At 45.5% G+C, this 16,104-nt stretch overlaps 1 protein-coding gene and 1 long non-coding RNA gene across 3 annotated transcripts in view; one reads left to right on the forward strand and one right to left on the reverse strand.

Annotated features, from left to right (window-relative positions):
- The window catches only part of COPG2 (coat protein complex I subunit gamma 2), a 162,511-nt gene that overhangs the window by 27,705 nt on the left and 118,702 nt on the right, over positions 1-16,104 (reverse strand). The window contains exons 18-20 of one of the 2 annotated variants that reach the window (NM_012133.6): positions 15,372-15,434; positions 14,461-14,600; positions 13,732-13,903 (exon numbers count right to left, since the gene is read on the reverse strand). In NM_012133.6, coding sequence (NP_036265.3) covers positions 13,732-13,903; positions 14,461-14,600; positions 15,372-15,434 — 375 coding nt within the window. Of the gene's footprint in view, positions 1-12,844; positions 13,904-14,460; positions 14,601-15,371; positions 15,435-16,104 lie in introns of those variants that run through there. The other variant, NM_001290033.2, reaches the window with a different exon arrangement.
- COPG2IT1 (COPG2 imprinted transcript 1) lies at positions 9,511-12,958 on the forward strand. The gene has a single exon (NR_024086.2). It is a non-coding gene; the product is annotated as a COPG2 imprinted transcript 1 (long non-coding RNA).

Consider the following 16,104-nt stretch of genomic DNA (forward strand, 5'->3'; position numbering starts at 1 on the left):
GGCGTAAGAGGAGAAATAACCTCATGAATTTATTGGGGTGGGGTGGGGGGGGTGGAGCAGAGTTGAGCTTTGATAGAGGAACCAACATGGAAAACAGGAAGATGGAACAAAGAATTCCCAAAATGGGGGTGCGCCAGACCTCATGGTGCAAATTGTTGAAATAAGCAGTATTAAAGCCAGATCATAAGAGCAGAGCAGATCGAAGAAGCAAGAGCCTGGGCATTTTTGCAAATTGAGGCCCTTAGGAGAAAATGGGGGAAAGGGCCAAAGTAACTGGGGTTACAGAGAGGGCATCAGGAATCACTGCACATGAAGACAGCACCTCCACAGAAACCACCGGCAGGGAACTCAGGGACTTGGTGATGGACTCATATCGTTTGAGTCCAGCATGTGGGGAGAAAGATGCTTATAAAATGGCAGAGGAGGGACTGCTAAGCAATGCACAGAAGACAATTTGCAGTAATCACTTAATCCTTGGTTTTGCTATCCAAGAGTGGGAGAAAGATATGGAGGTGCAGCTTTCGAAGCAAAATATCCACAGATGTCATGAGGCTCCAATGGGGGTGGGGGGCACAGGCTTCATACCTAGTGGAGCATCATAGGATTAGTGGGAAAAGTAGGTCGGTAGCAAATGGGGATGCAGCAATACAGAGTAAATCCAGTGGTAGTCAGGGTGGCAGAGATGGGTAGAGGCAAGGGTAATTCTTTCTTGGAGGCAAGAGTGGAGGAAAGGTAGAACAGGACGGAGGCCAGAACCTGTGTAAGAAGGTCTTAAATCCTAAACACAGGTGTAGTAAAGGTAGTGTGGCCAAGAGGGAAAGAGGAAACGGTGGATCTGGACAGCCACAATAGCAAGCAATATGGGCAGGGGTGCATGGGCTCACTGGGGCCCTATCCAAGGTAAATGGAAATAATGGAGATGAAGAAAGGAGGAAGAGGAGGAAGTAGCGGGACTGGCTATAGAGTTTTGTAGGAACTCACTTCATGGAACAGAAAGAGAAAAGAGGAAACAAGGCTGGAGTGGAAGAGGGGAAGGAAAAGGCAGCCGTAAGGGAAGGCGCTGGCCTGAATCAGTGGAAGATCCGGAGGAGCAATAGAAAACAGTTCTTGAAAAGAAGGTGGGATAGAGAGAGGATGGAAAAGTTTGAGCGGTGAGGAGAGCAGGTCAAAGTAGTGAGCACATCCCTATGGAGAAGAGATGACTGAGTCAGATGAAGCGACAGGCCCTGGGTGGCTGAGAGAAATATTGGCCACAGACAGGCAGGTACCTTCCCTTGGCCAAGGAAGCAAAGAGAAGAAATGTGGATGCAAGGGGAAAGGCTTCAAGAAAGAATGTGGAAGTGGGACAATGAGGCAGCGCCGACAGGGGAGTCACCTACAGAAGACAGACAGGGTGGAGGGGCCTCCAGGGAAGGATGGAGGGCAGAAAGCGTGGTGGAAGGGAGCTGGGCAGGACAGCCATAAGCAGGACAGCCACAGGTGAAGCGAGGTGAAGGGGGAGGTCCCAGAGTAGGAACCAAGGAATGTGGAGTGCTCAGGGCAGCCTGCAAGGTTCGGCATGGGGAAGGGAAAGTGTGAAAGGGGTGGACAGCAATGGGCAGGAAGGAATGGCTGCTCTTAAAGCCTTGAACTTTGTTGCACAGGTGTGAATCTTGGGCCAGGCTCTTTACTACGGATCCGGCAGGGAAGGGTGGGCTGGGTGGAGGGGATGGGGTTTGGGGTGGGGTTTGGGTATGGGATGAATGGGTGGGGCAGGGTTAGGGGCAGTGGGACTGGGACTGGGGGAGGGGTTGGGGTGGGGTGAAGTGGGCCAAGCTGTAGGCATTGAGAACACCATCTCATTCATCTGAGCTGGTGGACAATTACATGTTGAGTGTTGAGGTTGATGAATACAGGCTAGAGAAGACATCTGAGTCCGGCAAAAGAAGAAAAAACAGAGTAGCTCAGGAAGGGTAAAAGGTTAAGGTAAAGGGCTGGTTTCTGGGAAACAAACAGGATGATGACCACCAAATGGGAAGTCTCTCTGGGGGCACCTGGTCAGTGATATGAAAAGAGGAGGGATGATGAAGGAAAAATGTCAGTAGTAAGGGCCTACGAAAATTAGATTGAGGCCAAAGGTATTAACTGAGTGCCTGGGAGTCATATTAGATGGGTCAGGGCATAAAGGGTGGGGTGTGGAGGTGTCAGAAGCGCAACTCTCTCATGCAGACTGGGCTTTTGGGCACGATGTGTGTTAAGGGGTAAATGGGGCAGACAATGAGGTGGTTCCAAGTGGAGAGTGCCAGGACTGTTGGGCAGGGGGAGGGAAATGCTGGTCTTATGAGTAGGAAGTGTACCTGGAAATACCAAAATACTAAATGCTAGAAATAGGAGAGTAAAGGCCAGGGAGTCAAGGTGGCCGTCCACAGCAGTGATTCTTATCTGGGGTTGAGGGGTGGGTTTCACCCGAGGGAGGGCTGGGGACATGGACCCCCAGGCAGGCCTATCCAATCATCAGAGGGGTGAGCAGTGTTCAGCTCAGAAAAAGTAAGGGAAAAAAACAATCTCTAAAAGGAACACAGATAACAGCAAAAGAAGAAACCCAGCCCAAAAGATGCTTCTGATAGGCTTCCTCGGGGTCCTGCATCCTCGGGTGAGAATCACTGGTGGACGCGGGAGGATGGAGAGCCGGACAGACATGTACAATGTGAGGGGAAGATGCACGTGCAGCGGGGCTGATGGAGGCATCAGGGTCAAGACTGTCAGGTGTGGGAACACAGTTCCCGACAGACCAGGACAAGGATGACAGCGAGCAAATGGATGTAGCCGAAAAGGCACCGGGACCATGGTGGTGGAGCTGGGATTTCCAGCGCCTCGGTCCGAGACTCGAGGACTCAGGTGGAGGAGTGAGGCCAAGATAGGGGCCCAGTGACACAGAGGAAGTGGGCTGTGCGGGTGAGAGCAGAGAGCAGGGGATCTGTTGTCACGGGGAGGGAAGGTGCAAAGGGAAATGGAGACAGTGTGGAAGGAGAGCGTCTTGAAGACATGGGCCTTAAGGAGGAGGGAGGAGGTGGGAGGAGGGTGGGACTGACAGGAGCACCCAGGAGGAGCAGAGGAGCTGGGTCTCAGGCAGGGCAGGAGAGTCAGGTTGAGACTGGGTGCATTCGTACCGGGGGGACGAGGATGGGCAGAAAGTGGGACACGAATGAGTGACAAAGACAAAACTACTCTGGTGACAGGAAGAAGGTAGGAGATTCAGAGGCAGAGGCTCCCCAGAGTGTTTTTCCACAGTGTGAAAGAAAGGATGAGAAAAGAATCAGGAAGGTTTAGGGGAGTCAGGGTTGTGGGGCCCTGGAAAGGACTCATAGCCTGGGCCACTGGGACGTGAGCTTGGACAGCAGAGCGTGTGGATTCAGTGCAGTACGTGTGACACAGAGAGGACTGCATCTGGTGGAGCAGTGGGTGCGGGGCCAGGTCAAGAAGGGAGGACACACCTGAGAACACGAATTAGGCCAGTGGCAGAATCGCAGGTGGTGCTGAGAGAACGCAGCATGGTGCAGGTGGGACAGTACCGTGCTATGCAGTAGAGGAGGAAAGCAGGAGAAACGACCAACCTGGGCCCAGGAGCTGGGAGCTGGGAGAGCAGAGGGTGAGTTTGCAGCATATGGGAGAGCAGGACAGAGGAGAGGTGTTCCCCAATGGGCAAGAAGAATGAGTTGGAGCAGGTTATGGAGGCCAGCAGCTTACAGAGGTGAGCTTGTTGAGAGGATCAGGGAATGTACTGCAGCAAGGGAGGCATGCCAAGAGCAAGAGTGTGGGTGTGAACGTAGAGAATCCTCCTTTTTGCCCAAAAGGGGCGAAGTGTTTGATGCAGGTCATGGAGGAGAAAGCATGGTGTGGGTAAGACACGGAAGGAATGAAGGAGAGGTGAGATGAGGCCACAGAAACAGGGTGTAGAGGTGTTGGCACCTTGGAAACATTGAGGACCGTGTGTCAATAAAGGGCATGGCGAGACGATGAAAGGCCAGAGGACACAACAGAGAGAGGAAACCACTGTTCCTTAGAGGCAGAACTGAGAATACAGGACGGTTAGGGGTGAACTGAGACAGCAGATGGACTCAGTACAGCAAGTTGAGGACATGGAAGCTGGCAGTGGTGTCATCAGTGGGGGCAGGGCAGGAAGGGGTCAGAGTTCAGGAAAGATTCCTGAGTCTGTGGATTGACCTGGCGGAGACAGGGCACGCAGGACTGGATGTTGAAGAGGAGGTGGAGCATGTCTGGAAGATGAAAGTGGGAGGAAACAGTGGTGCAGGAATTAAATGTGAACCTTGTGTGGAAAAAGTGAGACATTGGAGTGGAGCAGCCACATGGAGGTGGTGTGATGTGAGTGGGGTCAGGGAAGTTGATGGGAAAAGAAAGAGATTTGTGGTGCAGGAGGGGAAAGAACATCATGAAGTTGTGGGGAGCTTAGTGTCCGTACAGGGTCCGATGCAGAAAAGGGGAAGGAGGAAATCAGAGTTCCCCAAATGGGGTTTTATCAGATCTCAGGGAAGTTGGTATCATGCTTCTTATCAAGGCCAACCCATAGGATTACGGTAGGGAGGCAAAATCCCAGGCTTTTCAGAAGTGGATCCTTAGGAAAGGAAAGTAGGGGGAAGGTGCCTAAGTCACTCAGGGTAAATGGAGGAAATGGGGCATCACTGCACATTCAGACAGCACCTGCATGGAACGTACTGGCAGGTAAACCTTGGGGGCTGGGGGCCTGGGAGGGGATGGACTCATGTGTTTTGAGTCTAGTATGTGGGCAGAAAGATACTTGCAAGTGTTAGAGGGAACTAATGGAGAGAAGACAATTCCTAGTGACCACTGAGTCTGAACCTCTGTTGTCAAGGGAGCCTGAGAGGATGGAGGTGTAGCTTGCAACTGAAAATATGCACTACACCACACTTCACTACAGAGGTGCAGTGAAGTAGGAAGCGGGGGCCTTCAAACACAGGTAGCATCTTAGATTTAGTGGGAGATTAGGTCAGTAGTAAATGGGCACAGTGGGCATGCCCAGAGTTTGGATAGGATGAAGGTTTGGGTGCTGATACGGGGGCTTCATTTTTGGAAACTTTTTCCAGAGGGCAGAGAGGAGGAAAGGCAGAACAGGATGGATGGCAGGACCTGTGTAAGAAGAAGGTCTTAAATTCTAAACAAGGGTATAGTAAAGGTAGTGTGGCCAAGAGGGAAAGAAGAAATGGTGGATCCAGATAGCTTCAATGGGTACTGCAAGATCAGGTGTGATGGGCAGGGGTGCATGGGCTCACTGGGACCCTATCCAAGGTAAATGGAAATAATGGAGATGAAGAAAGGAGGAAGAGGAGGAAGTGGCGGGACTGGCTGTAGAGTTTTGTAGGAACTCACTTCATGGAACAGAAAGAGAAAAGAGGAAACAAGGCTGGAGTGGAAGAGGGGAAGGAAAAGGCAGCCTAAGGGAAGGCACTGGCCTCAATCAGTGGAAGATCTGGAGGAGCAACAGAAAACAGTTCTTGAAGAGAAGGTGGGATAGAGAGAGGATGGAAAAGTTTGAGCGGTGAAAGCAGGTCAAAGTAGTGAGCACATCCCTATGGAGAAGAGATGACTGAGTCAGATGAAGCGACAGGCCCTGGGTGGCTGAGAGAAATACTGGCCACAGACAGGCAGGTACCTTCCCTTGGCCAAGGAAGCAAAGAGAAGAAATGTGGATGCAAGGGGAAAGGCTTCAAGAAAGAATGTGGAAGTGGGACGATGAGGCAGCGCCAACAGGGGAGTCACCTACAGAAGACAGACAGGGTGGAGGGGCCCCCAGGGAAGGATGGAGGGCAGAAAGCATGGTGGAAGGGAGCTGGGCAGGACAGCCACAGGCAGGACAGCCATAGTTGGAGCGAGGTGAACGGGGAGGTCCCAGAGTAGGAACAAAGGAATGTGGAGTGCTCAGGGCAGCCTGCAAGGTTCGGCAGGGGAAGGGAAAGTGTGAAAGGGGTGGACAGCAATGGGCAGGAAGGAATGGCTGCTCTTAAAGCCTTGAACTTTGTTGCAGAAGTGTGAATCTTGGGCCAGGGTCTTTGCTATGGATGCAGTGGGGAAGGGTGGGTTGGGTGAAGGGGATGGGGTTTGGGATGGGATTTGGGTTGGGACTGACTGGGTTGGAAAGGAGGGAAGGATTGGGAGCAGTGGGGTGTGAGTGGGAGAGGAGGTAGGGAACCAGATGGGGAGAATCGAGCCAAGTTCTGGGTTGGAGGAAACTTTCTTATTTAACTGAGCTGGTGGGTTACATATCTAATGTTGCAGGTGATGAATACAGGCTGGGGTAGCCGTCTAAATCCACCGAAAGAAGTAAATGAAAGTGGTTTCTTGTAGGTCGAAAGGTCAAGGTAAATGGCTGGTTTTTAGGAAACAACTGAGAACTCGGGAAACAAAGGGGGAAGTTTCTGCAGGCCGATCTTGTAAGGGATCTGAAAAAAGGGGTGGGGATTAAGGAAAACTGACAATAGTAAGCACCCATAAGAAACAGGTTGAGGCCGAAGATACTGACACAGGGCCTAAGAGTCCTATCAGGTGGGAGGACAAGACGTATCGGGTGGGGAGGCATTAAAAGAACAAGTTTCCAATGCAGACTGGTGTTTGGGGTCAGAGGTGTGTTAAAGGGCAAATAGGGAAGGAATGAAGTGGTTCCAAGCAGAGAGTTCCAGGCCTAATGGGGGTGGGCAGACAAAAGATGAGATGTGTTAAGTGGGAAGTTAAATGGCAAGTACTAGAATGCCACCTATGGCAAGCACTAGAATGGTCTAGGTGTGAAATGAGGGAGTAATGTCAGGGAGTCAAGGTGGCCATCCATAGCAGTGATTCTTATCTGGGGTAGGGGGTGAATTTCACGTGGAGGGAGGTCTCTGGACATGGACCCCCAGGCAGGGCTATCCAATCATCTGAGGGGTGAGCAGTGTTCAGCTCAGTAAAAGTAAGGGAAAAAAAATAGCAGTCTCTAAAAGGAACATAGACAATAGCAAAAGAAGAAACCAAGCCCAAAAGATGCTTCTGATAGGCCGCCTTGGGGTCCTGCATTCTCGGGTGAGAATCACTGGTGGATGCGGGAGGATGGAGAGCCGGGCAGACACGTGGAGTGTGAGGGGAAGACGCACGTGCAGTGGGGCTGATGGAGGCATCAGGGTCAAGACTGTCAGGTGTGGGAACACAGTTCCCGACAGATCAGGACAAAGATGACAGCGAGCAGATGGATGTAGCCGAAAAGGCACCGGGTACCCTGGTGGTGGAACTGGGTTTTCCAATGCCTCGGTCCCAGACTCAAGGTGGAGGAGTGAGGCCTAGAGAAGGGCCTAGTGACACAGAGGAAGTGGGCTGTGCGGGTGAGAGCAGAGAGCAGGGGATCTGTTGTCACGGGGAGGGAAGGTGCAAAGGGAAATGGAGACAGTGTGGAAGGAGAGCGTCTTGAAGACACGGGCCTTAAGGAGGGAGGAGGTGGGAGGAGGGTGGGACTGACAGCAGCACCCAGGAGGAGCAGAGGAGCTGAGTCTCAGGCAGGGCAGGAGAGTCAGGTTGAGACTGGGTGTGTATGGGGTGGGAGATGAGGACGGGCAGAGAGCGAGACACGAGTGAGTGACAAAGACAAAATTGCTATGGTGATAGGAACAAGGTAGGAGATTCAGAGGCAGATGTTCCCCAGAGTGTTTTTACACAGTGTGAAAGAAAGGATGAGAAAAGAATCAGGAAGGTTTAGGGGAGTCAGGGTTGTGGGGCCCTGGAAAGGACTCATAGCCTGGGCCACTGGGACGTGAGCTTGGACAGCAGAGCGTGTGGATTCAGTGCAGTACGTGTGACACAGAGAGGACTGCATCTGGTGGAGCAGTGGGTGCGGGGCCAGGTCAAGAAGGGAGGACACACCTGAGAACACGAATTAGGCCAGTGGCAGAATCGCAGGTGGTGCTGAGAGAACGCAGCATGGTGCAGGTGGGACAGTACCGTGCTATGCAGTAGAGGAGGAAAGCAGGAGAAACGACCAACCTGGGCCCAGGAGCTGGGAGCTGGGAGAGCAGAGGGTGAGTTTGCAGCATATGGGAGAGCAGGACAGAGGAGAGGTGTTCCCCAATGGGCAAGAAGAATGAGTTGGAGCAGGTTATGGAGGCCAGCAGCTTACGGAGGTGAGCTTGTTGAGAGGATCAGGGAATGTACTGCAGCAAGGGAGGCATGCCAAGAGCAAGAGTGTGGGTGTGAACGTAGAGAATCCTCCTTTTTGCCCCAAAGGGGTGAAGTGTTTGATGCAGGTCATGGAGGAGAAAGCATGGTGTGGGTAAGACACGGAAGGAATGAAGGAGAGGTGAGATGAGGCCACAGAAACAGGGTGTAGAGGTGTTGGCACCTTGGAAACATTGAGGACCGTGTGTCAATAAAGGGCATGGCGAGACGATGGAAGGCCAGAGGACACAACAGAGAGAGGAAACCACTGTTCCTTAGAGGCAGAACTGAGAATACAGGACGGTTAGGGGTGAACTGAGACAGCAGATGGACTCAGTACAGCAGGTTGAGGACATGGAAGCTGGCAGTGGTGTCATCAGTGGGGGGCAGGGCAGGAAGGGGTCAGAGTTCAGGACAGATTCCTGAGTCTGTGGATTGACTTGGAGGTGGCAGGGCATGCAGGACTGGATGTTGAAGATGAAAAGGAGTTTCTGGAAGATGACAGTGGGAGGCAACACTGTGTGTAGACTGTGCAAATTTACACTGGCATACCACATGGAATGAGAGAGTCTGGCAGCCATTCTAAGGCAGTTATTGGGATGTAAATTTGATGACGGAAGTTTATGGTAAAAGAAGGGACAGGAGGCAGGTAGGAGGGGAGATAACCTTATGAATTTGTGCAGGGCTTAGCATCAGTAAAAGGGCTGACATGGAATAGGGGAAGGTGGAATGCAGAGTTCCCAAAGTGGGGGCACTGGCAAATCTCAGGGGCAAGTCAGTGGTATGTTCGGTATCATGGCTGAGTGTAGGAGCATTTTAGGGAATAGAAGTTAAATCCTAGACGACAAGCGAGTGGGGTAACAACACTTTACCTGTCATGGTAACTACTTCATTGAATAGGAAAACAGAAAAAGAAGAAACCTTATAGAGGGTGATGGTAAAGCAACCCCAACTGATATGGAAGGCAGTGTTGGCAATCACTGAAGGTCAGGATTTTGAAAGCAAACAATTAACAATGTAAAATTTGCAAGTGTGGGGGTTGGACATAGGTTACTATGTGTTTAATGTGGTCTCCAACAAAATTAGCAGAGCCAAAATGAGAAGGAAGTATTACTCTGTTTAACAAGATTGAAATTAAGGGGACAGTATACAGTTTAAACCACTTTGGGATTTAGGAATGTCAGAGTTGGTAGGGTGGGTATTGTTGCCCCTTGATCCACAGTATGGAATAATGGCAAAGAGGAAAACTATATAGAAAGAACTTGTCATTAGGGAATTTGGTGGCTTCCTTAAAGCTCCTTGAGGGAAACACTTGATGAATGCTTAGAGTCAGGAGAATAAACGGTCCCATATAGAGATAGGTTTATGAAGCGGAGTCTGAAGGATGAGCTTCATCAGCAATCCTCAGAATGTCAGTTCTACTAGCTAAGGATGCAGGTAAGTATGTTGGACACCAAGAGAACAGGAAGGAAGTGTTTTGAACACTGGAGGTGGGTCATGAGGAAGCTTATACATATTCACATTGTGAATCAATTTCAAGGACAGATGAACAAAGACTGGGCGTTACCAATAGAGCAGGGTTTTGTTTTGTTTTTCCCCTAAGGCAAAAGGCAGAAATGAGTGGGTACACCATGATTAAGTTGCATTCTGTAGAGATAGGATCATTTAAGTCAAGTCAGCAACAAAAATTAGAGACATTGAAGATGATGGGGTAGAAAAGGGGTATCAAATAGGTTAGAAAGATGGCTTGAAAGGAAATGAGGGAAATTTCAGTGAGTTTGAGGAATGGCAGACTGGGTATGTGACAAATGAGTGGGTAAATAAGGAAATCTCAGACTGAGAATCCTGGCAGATCTTTCAATGGGTTAGACTGCAGGAATATTGATTTTAAAGCCAGACTGAAGCAAATTCTAGTGATAAAGGAAGGGGAAAGGGTGGCTGAATCAAATGTTCTACCAATACTGCTTTTTTTAGTATTTGAGTTAAAATTCAGATTAAATGCTTGGCTTAGAAGAATGCAAAGCTTCACTGAGCCTAATAATATGGATCCCAGTGGGTGAGTGGAGGTGAGTTAAAGTAAAAAACTCTGAGGCAAATCTTACTTAACTGAAGTTGTGTTTTTAGTACAGAATGCCAAGTTAATATGGTTAATACTGAACAAAAAATAATGGAAGGGCAACTACAGTAGCTTAAGATGGCACTTTAAGGAAGTGTAGGCAGAAAGTCAAGAAATTAAAATAATTATGAATCATTATATGGCAGGCAATATTTCCAATGAAAATCAGAGAAAATAAACTCACATACATGTACTGTTACAGCTGATCTTAGTATGAATATTTTCTATTAAAGACTGTTTTAAAATAAGTTATTAATATTTGTTGAAATGGTTCCAGATAACAAGAAATATGATGCAATAAAACCTGATAAATAAAAGCAATATAAAGATTAGAATGGTTTTGAATAGGTAGTGGAATAAAAAGTTAAGTTGGTAGTTGCATTAAAAAGGTCAAACATGGGGAATAATTGGTAGAATGTTGTGTATATAATATATATTGTTACGGGTGCAATAAATATTCAGGGGAAACAGAGCTGCTGAAAGAGAATGAATGCTTAGAAGGAATGTTGCCTTAAAGGCTTTTCTAAAACTTTTTAGGTAAAGGACAAATTCTGGGAGGACGAAAGATAATAAGTAGGACTAGTTACATAGAGACTTAGGATGTCCATAGTCTTTCAAGAAATTGCCCAACCTTTGCGAGAAGGTGTTATGGTAATATATTGATGTTGGGTTAAAGCAAATTTTTTCAGATAGGGTAGATTTTTATACATTTATAAAGTAAAGGGGAGTAGGAAAGATTAAAGATAGATCAAAGAAAGGAATAATTGATGGAACAACTTTCTGGAAGAGATTAGAGGGTATGTGTCTTTTGAACTCTGGAAGACTTGATTTTAGAGAGGATAAAGGAAGAAAGTGGATAATTCTAGAATTAAACACCAAAAGGTTCTATGTGTCTGGCACCATGTGAAGCAACTTACCTATTATTTCATTTCATTTCATTTCATTTCATTTCATTTCATCCTATAACAGTCCTAAGAGATCAAATAATTTGTCCACGATTACACAGTCAGTATGTAGCAGGGCCAGCATTCAAATCCTCATCTGTCTATCAAACCCATATTCCCTTCTATTATGCTATACTGTTTTCAAGTTGAAGGAAATCAAACCAAGAATTTCTGTTTTTTCACTGCGATTATAAGGAAAAATATTATTTTTCTGAAATGAGACATATTGATGTTTAAGACCTTGAGGTGACAGGTAAAATTTGGAATATCTGTGATGGGAAAATGCAAAAAGGAAGGAATGGGTGAAAGATACCTATTACCATCTATGCCCTGGTATTTCACTTCTTCCATTGCACAGCATAGACTTTAGATTGGCCATGGATTAAAAATTTGAGAATTCTGACAAAAAACTAAATAGAAAGGAGTTTGTTTTTTAAGTAGGTATATGATGGGTCAAATATAAACTTACTACTAACAAAACTTTAAACAATTCCCTAAATGCCAAACTTTTATAAACAAAAATCAAACAAACCATCAAGCAAAAGAGTCCATAGCCAGCAGACCAAATGTTGAAATCTCTGGGCTAATTTGTAAGATCTATGTTTTAAAACTCCTTAGTGAAGAGGGGCAAGAAAACCTCTCCTCTTTTTCCTCTCTTGGTGGAAATGTTTTGTTGTTGTTGTTGGTTTTTTCCTATACTATATGTAATTTCTATATTGTTGTTTTGTGTATTTTGGTATTATAAAATTATACTTCTTAGATTCCGTTAAGAATACTTTCTGGGGTGTGAGCCACCTGAGTTATTAGTTAGCAAAATGAACCTGGGGAAGTGGGAAGAGCTAGTATTCTCAATTGGCAAGGGATTGATTCTTCAATGGGTTCAGCATTTCACTTCCCTCTGAAATTAAGTGGCAAAGTAATAGCATCCCTTAAAAAACAGGACATTGGTGAGAGGTAGAATAGCAGGAGGAATTTTGAAACATGGAGGGATGGCTACTGGAAAAGAACTGATGAAGTGCAGAGTCTCTCCAGACAATGGTAGAAACCACAGGACTACATTAAGATTGGGCCCAAATACTAGTTTAGAAAAAGGTAAATAAAACTAGCTTTACTTAAGAGTACAGCCAGCTTAATTACTGGCTAGTGGACATATTTCAGACAAATCTAACTGGAGAGAAAAACAGACCAGGAGAGAAAGCGAAGTTACAAGGAAATGGAACTAGAGAAACCTCACAAAGGGATAAAGGAGGTAATTAAAGGTTAAAGCCAGATAGCCTCGAGCTCAAAGGAGAAATATTGGAGGCCAGATAGGAAAGTGCCTTCCTACTCAGGGGGTTATGGATCCAGGGTGGCTAAAGAATAGAAGTAGAGTTCCACCCAGGGCCAGAGGGAACAATCTGGGATTCAGACACAGCAGTGGTGCCAACGTGAATCTACCTCGTGCTAGAGTCTGAGTAGCCTAGTCTATCACCCAACACAGATAAGACTGGACAGGGGCTCCCAGGAACCAACATCTAAGAAGGGAGTTTGGAGAGGGGCTAAAAGAAAGCAGGTTAAGCCCCAAATGTAACTGAATGATGACCAGGGATAACTATTTACTAGTGCTTTTATGATTTATTGTAACTCTGTAACTTTCCCAGTATTTGTTAATTTTTTAACTTCTGTTTCTCCTGTACTTACGAGCAGTAAAAGTTGTTCAAAACATAAATGTGATGTGTGTGCTTATTTCTGTGAAAACTGGGTAACAGTTACGAATATTGTGCACTGAACATGAGAAGAGAAGAAATCAAGGAGGAAAATGATGATGGGGGGAATCAAGTAGAATAAATACTTGACATTCACCTTCCCAAGTCTCCAAATAAGTAAATACTACTATTGGCACTAGTTGGCTGTCTTTTAGGGGCTATTTCTCCACCCTGCAAAGACTGCATATGGGTCAAGGAGGGAATTAAAAGCCCTTCTTAATGTGGACACACATGGTTGGCTAAGCTACTCACTAGGCTGAGACATGCTCTCAGACACCAGCCTTATGCTACAGGACCTTCAAAAATGATGTATTTTAAAATGCCAACAATCTACTACATAACCAAGTTCTATCTAACTAGATAGAAACTTTGAGGAGAAGAGGGTCAAGATTCTTCACAGGAGACCAGGTATATGAACTCTCACAAGTGGTCACATTATTCCAACAGAAAGCTTGAGTTCCTTTTTGTGCTACTGCTATACACACTCAGTTTCTCTTTTAAGATTAAGTGTTCAGCAAATTTTACTCAGAGATTTAGTTTTAAAATTAATATTTCTGCAGCAGTAAACCATTTTATAAATATATATATTCACACACACACAAACACACACACACAAACACTCATCATTAAATTCTAGAAAAGCATCACATTCTTAAACTGAGCATTTGAAGAGTTGAAGAGCTCACAAGGAAATGCATTCTGAATCACGTATCTCCTCCCTTCTGAGGGTTAGTACCTGCTGTAGGGTCATCATCAGGCAAACGAACAAGAGTGTAACATATTCCTGGTTGGTTATAAGGAAGGCTGGGGGCTGGGATACAAGACAGCACTTCATAGGAATCTGATGGCTCCATCTGCACTGTCACTTTTTCCAGCAGCTGGTCATTGAGAGTGTTGGTGCAGTCAAACTGAAAAGTCAGTAAATGGAAAAGCTGTGAAGGATAACAAGTTATCCTTCCTACTCATAACCCACTACTCAGCTCTGGAACCCACTATACCTTCTATCTCTACAGAGCAGGGTAGGTCTCCTCCTAAGATTCTTCTTTTGGCAACAGGGAGAGCCTTATTCTTGAGGTCTTTTGTTTATATTATTCATCAGTTTTTTCTCTTTCCTGAGACTGCTGTCTCAAACAAGATGGCAGAAGTCTGATGGCTGTCAAATCTAAGTTCTCAGAATAGCCCACTTAATCTACCCTGATGTTAAATGCTGATTTTAGAAAATTGGTTATACTTTATGTTGTCCAACTTCATCACACATTTCAGTTTTATGTCCTTTAGATTTTAACCATCAAAAGTTACCCATCACATGAAGGGATCTCTATAGCTCTGGTGTTAAGCAAGAAAACCAGAAATTCTGCCAAATTAATTCTCTATAATAGAAACTAGAATTATAGGTAAAGGATATTTGTCTCAAAGCATACCAGTTTATACTAAATCTCTACAGCAGCCAAGGGCATTATCTTACCTGGAACACGATGTGATTGGTAAACATGTGCTTGATACATCGAACAAAATATTCTGTCTCTGCTTCTGTAAGTTGAACAGGCTCAGAAGACTTGAACAAGGGTCCTATATTCAGAAACTCAGGAATGGCAGCCAATTGTTCTATCAAGAAAAAAGAACGTAGGCTATGAAGAAGACAGGGAAAGACTTCAGTCTGGATGCTTAAAAAATGCTTTAGTTGGCCAGGAGCAGTGGCTCACGCCTGTAATCCCAGCACTTTGGGAGGCCGAGGCAGGCGGATCACGAGGTCAGGAGATCGAGACCATCCTGGCTAAGACCATCCTGGCTAACATGGTGAAACCCCGTCTCTACTAAAAATACAAAAAAATTAGTCAGGCGTGGTGGCAGGCGCCTGTAGTCCCAGCTACTCGGGAGGCTGAGGCAGGAGAATGGCGTGAACCTAGGAGGCAGAGCTTGCAGCGAGCCGGTATTGTGCCACTGCACTCCAGCCTGGGTGACAGAGCGAGACTCTGTCTCAAAAAAAAAAAATGCTTTAGTTTCCATAGCCTTACTAATAGTTGAACATTCAACTAATATGTCCCCAAGTTTTAGTGAAGTCATCTTTCAAGTAAGTAAGCTTATATATTAATGAAAGCAAAAAGCAAAAAAAAAAAAAAAGAAAGTAAATACTTATTTTACAATGAGTTCCCTGTTAACCAACGAGATACAGAAAAGAAAAACATTCCCAATTAGCAATTACAAACTGGAAAGTTCATGGACTCCAGGTAGCCTCAGCAACTATACCCTATGGTGTTCAGCCACACGAAGATTTCCTATATTGAGAACCGATCAATTTGAGTAAGACTGGTAGACTTTTTATATTTACAATGCCTAGGGGAAAGATTATTACGTCTAACCATCAAATCATCATACCTTGGAAAATGTCTTGCCTGGAAGGAGCCAACTTCTCTGGCTTAGTAGCCACAAGTGTGATTTCTATAAAGACAGATATGAGCAAGTAAGTGAACTTCTCCCACTACTATCAAGCTAGCAATGCAGACAGAAAGAGAGGAGAGCAGACATTTCTAGCAGATATATAATGAGCTATTACTAGATCATACTTATAGGTTATCTATCACTTCTGGTGGGGGGACACTCAAATTAAAATGTATTTAGTGAACATATATTGTGGAATCATAAAGTAAGCCCTAAAAATATAGAGTTTGCTTTAAATGGACTGGAATGTACAAAAATTACTCAGAAAAGGAAAAACAATTTATTTTAAAAATCTTCTCATGATCAAAATAGGAAAAATTACTTATATCAACAGAAAAACTGAAAATGTTGAAAATAAGCATAAAATTGTTTCTTCCCAGTTTTGTGTTCTAACCACTAAACATTTATGACTTCTTTTGTTTTTGTTTTTAAGTTTTAAGATTAGATATTCTTTGGGAATATTTTTTATGATTGTCGCCCATAAATTCTTTTAAGACGAACCTCCAATAACAAAATCAATTAACTTAGAGATTATCAACTTCAGAAAATAAAAATAGGAGGCGACAGCACTATTACTGCTCTGAGATGCACAGTGGCAACTGACTTCAGATACTGTAATGCTTTGCATTAAAAAAAACCCTTCATTTTGGAGTGCATTTCATCTTACTGC

Source organism: Homo sapiens, chromosome 7 (assembly GCF_000001405.40).
Source record: "Homo sapiens chromosome 7, GRCh38.p14 Primary Assembly".
Taxonomy (NCBI): domain Eukaryota; kingdom Metazoa; phylum Chordata; class Mammalia; order Primates; family Hominidae; genus Homo; species Homo sapiens.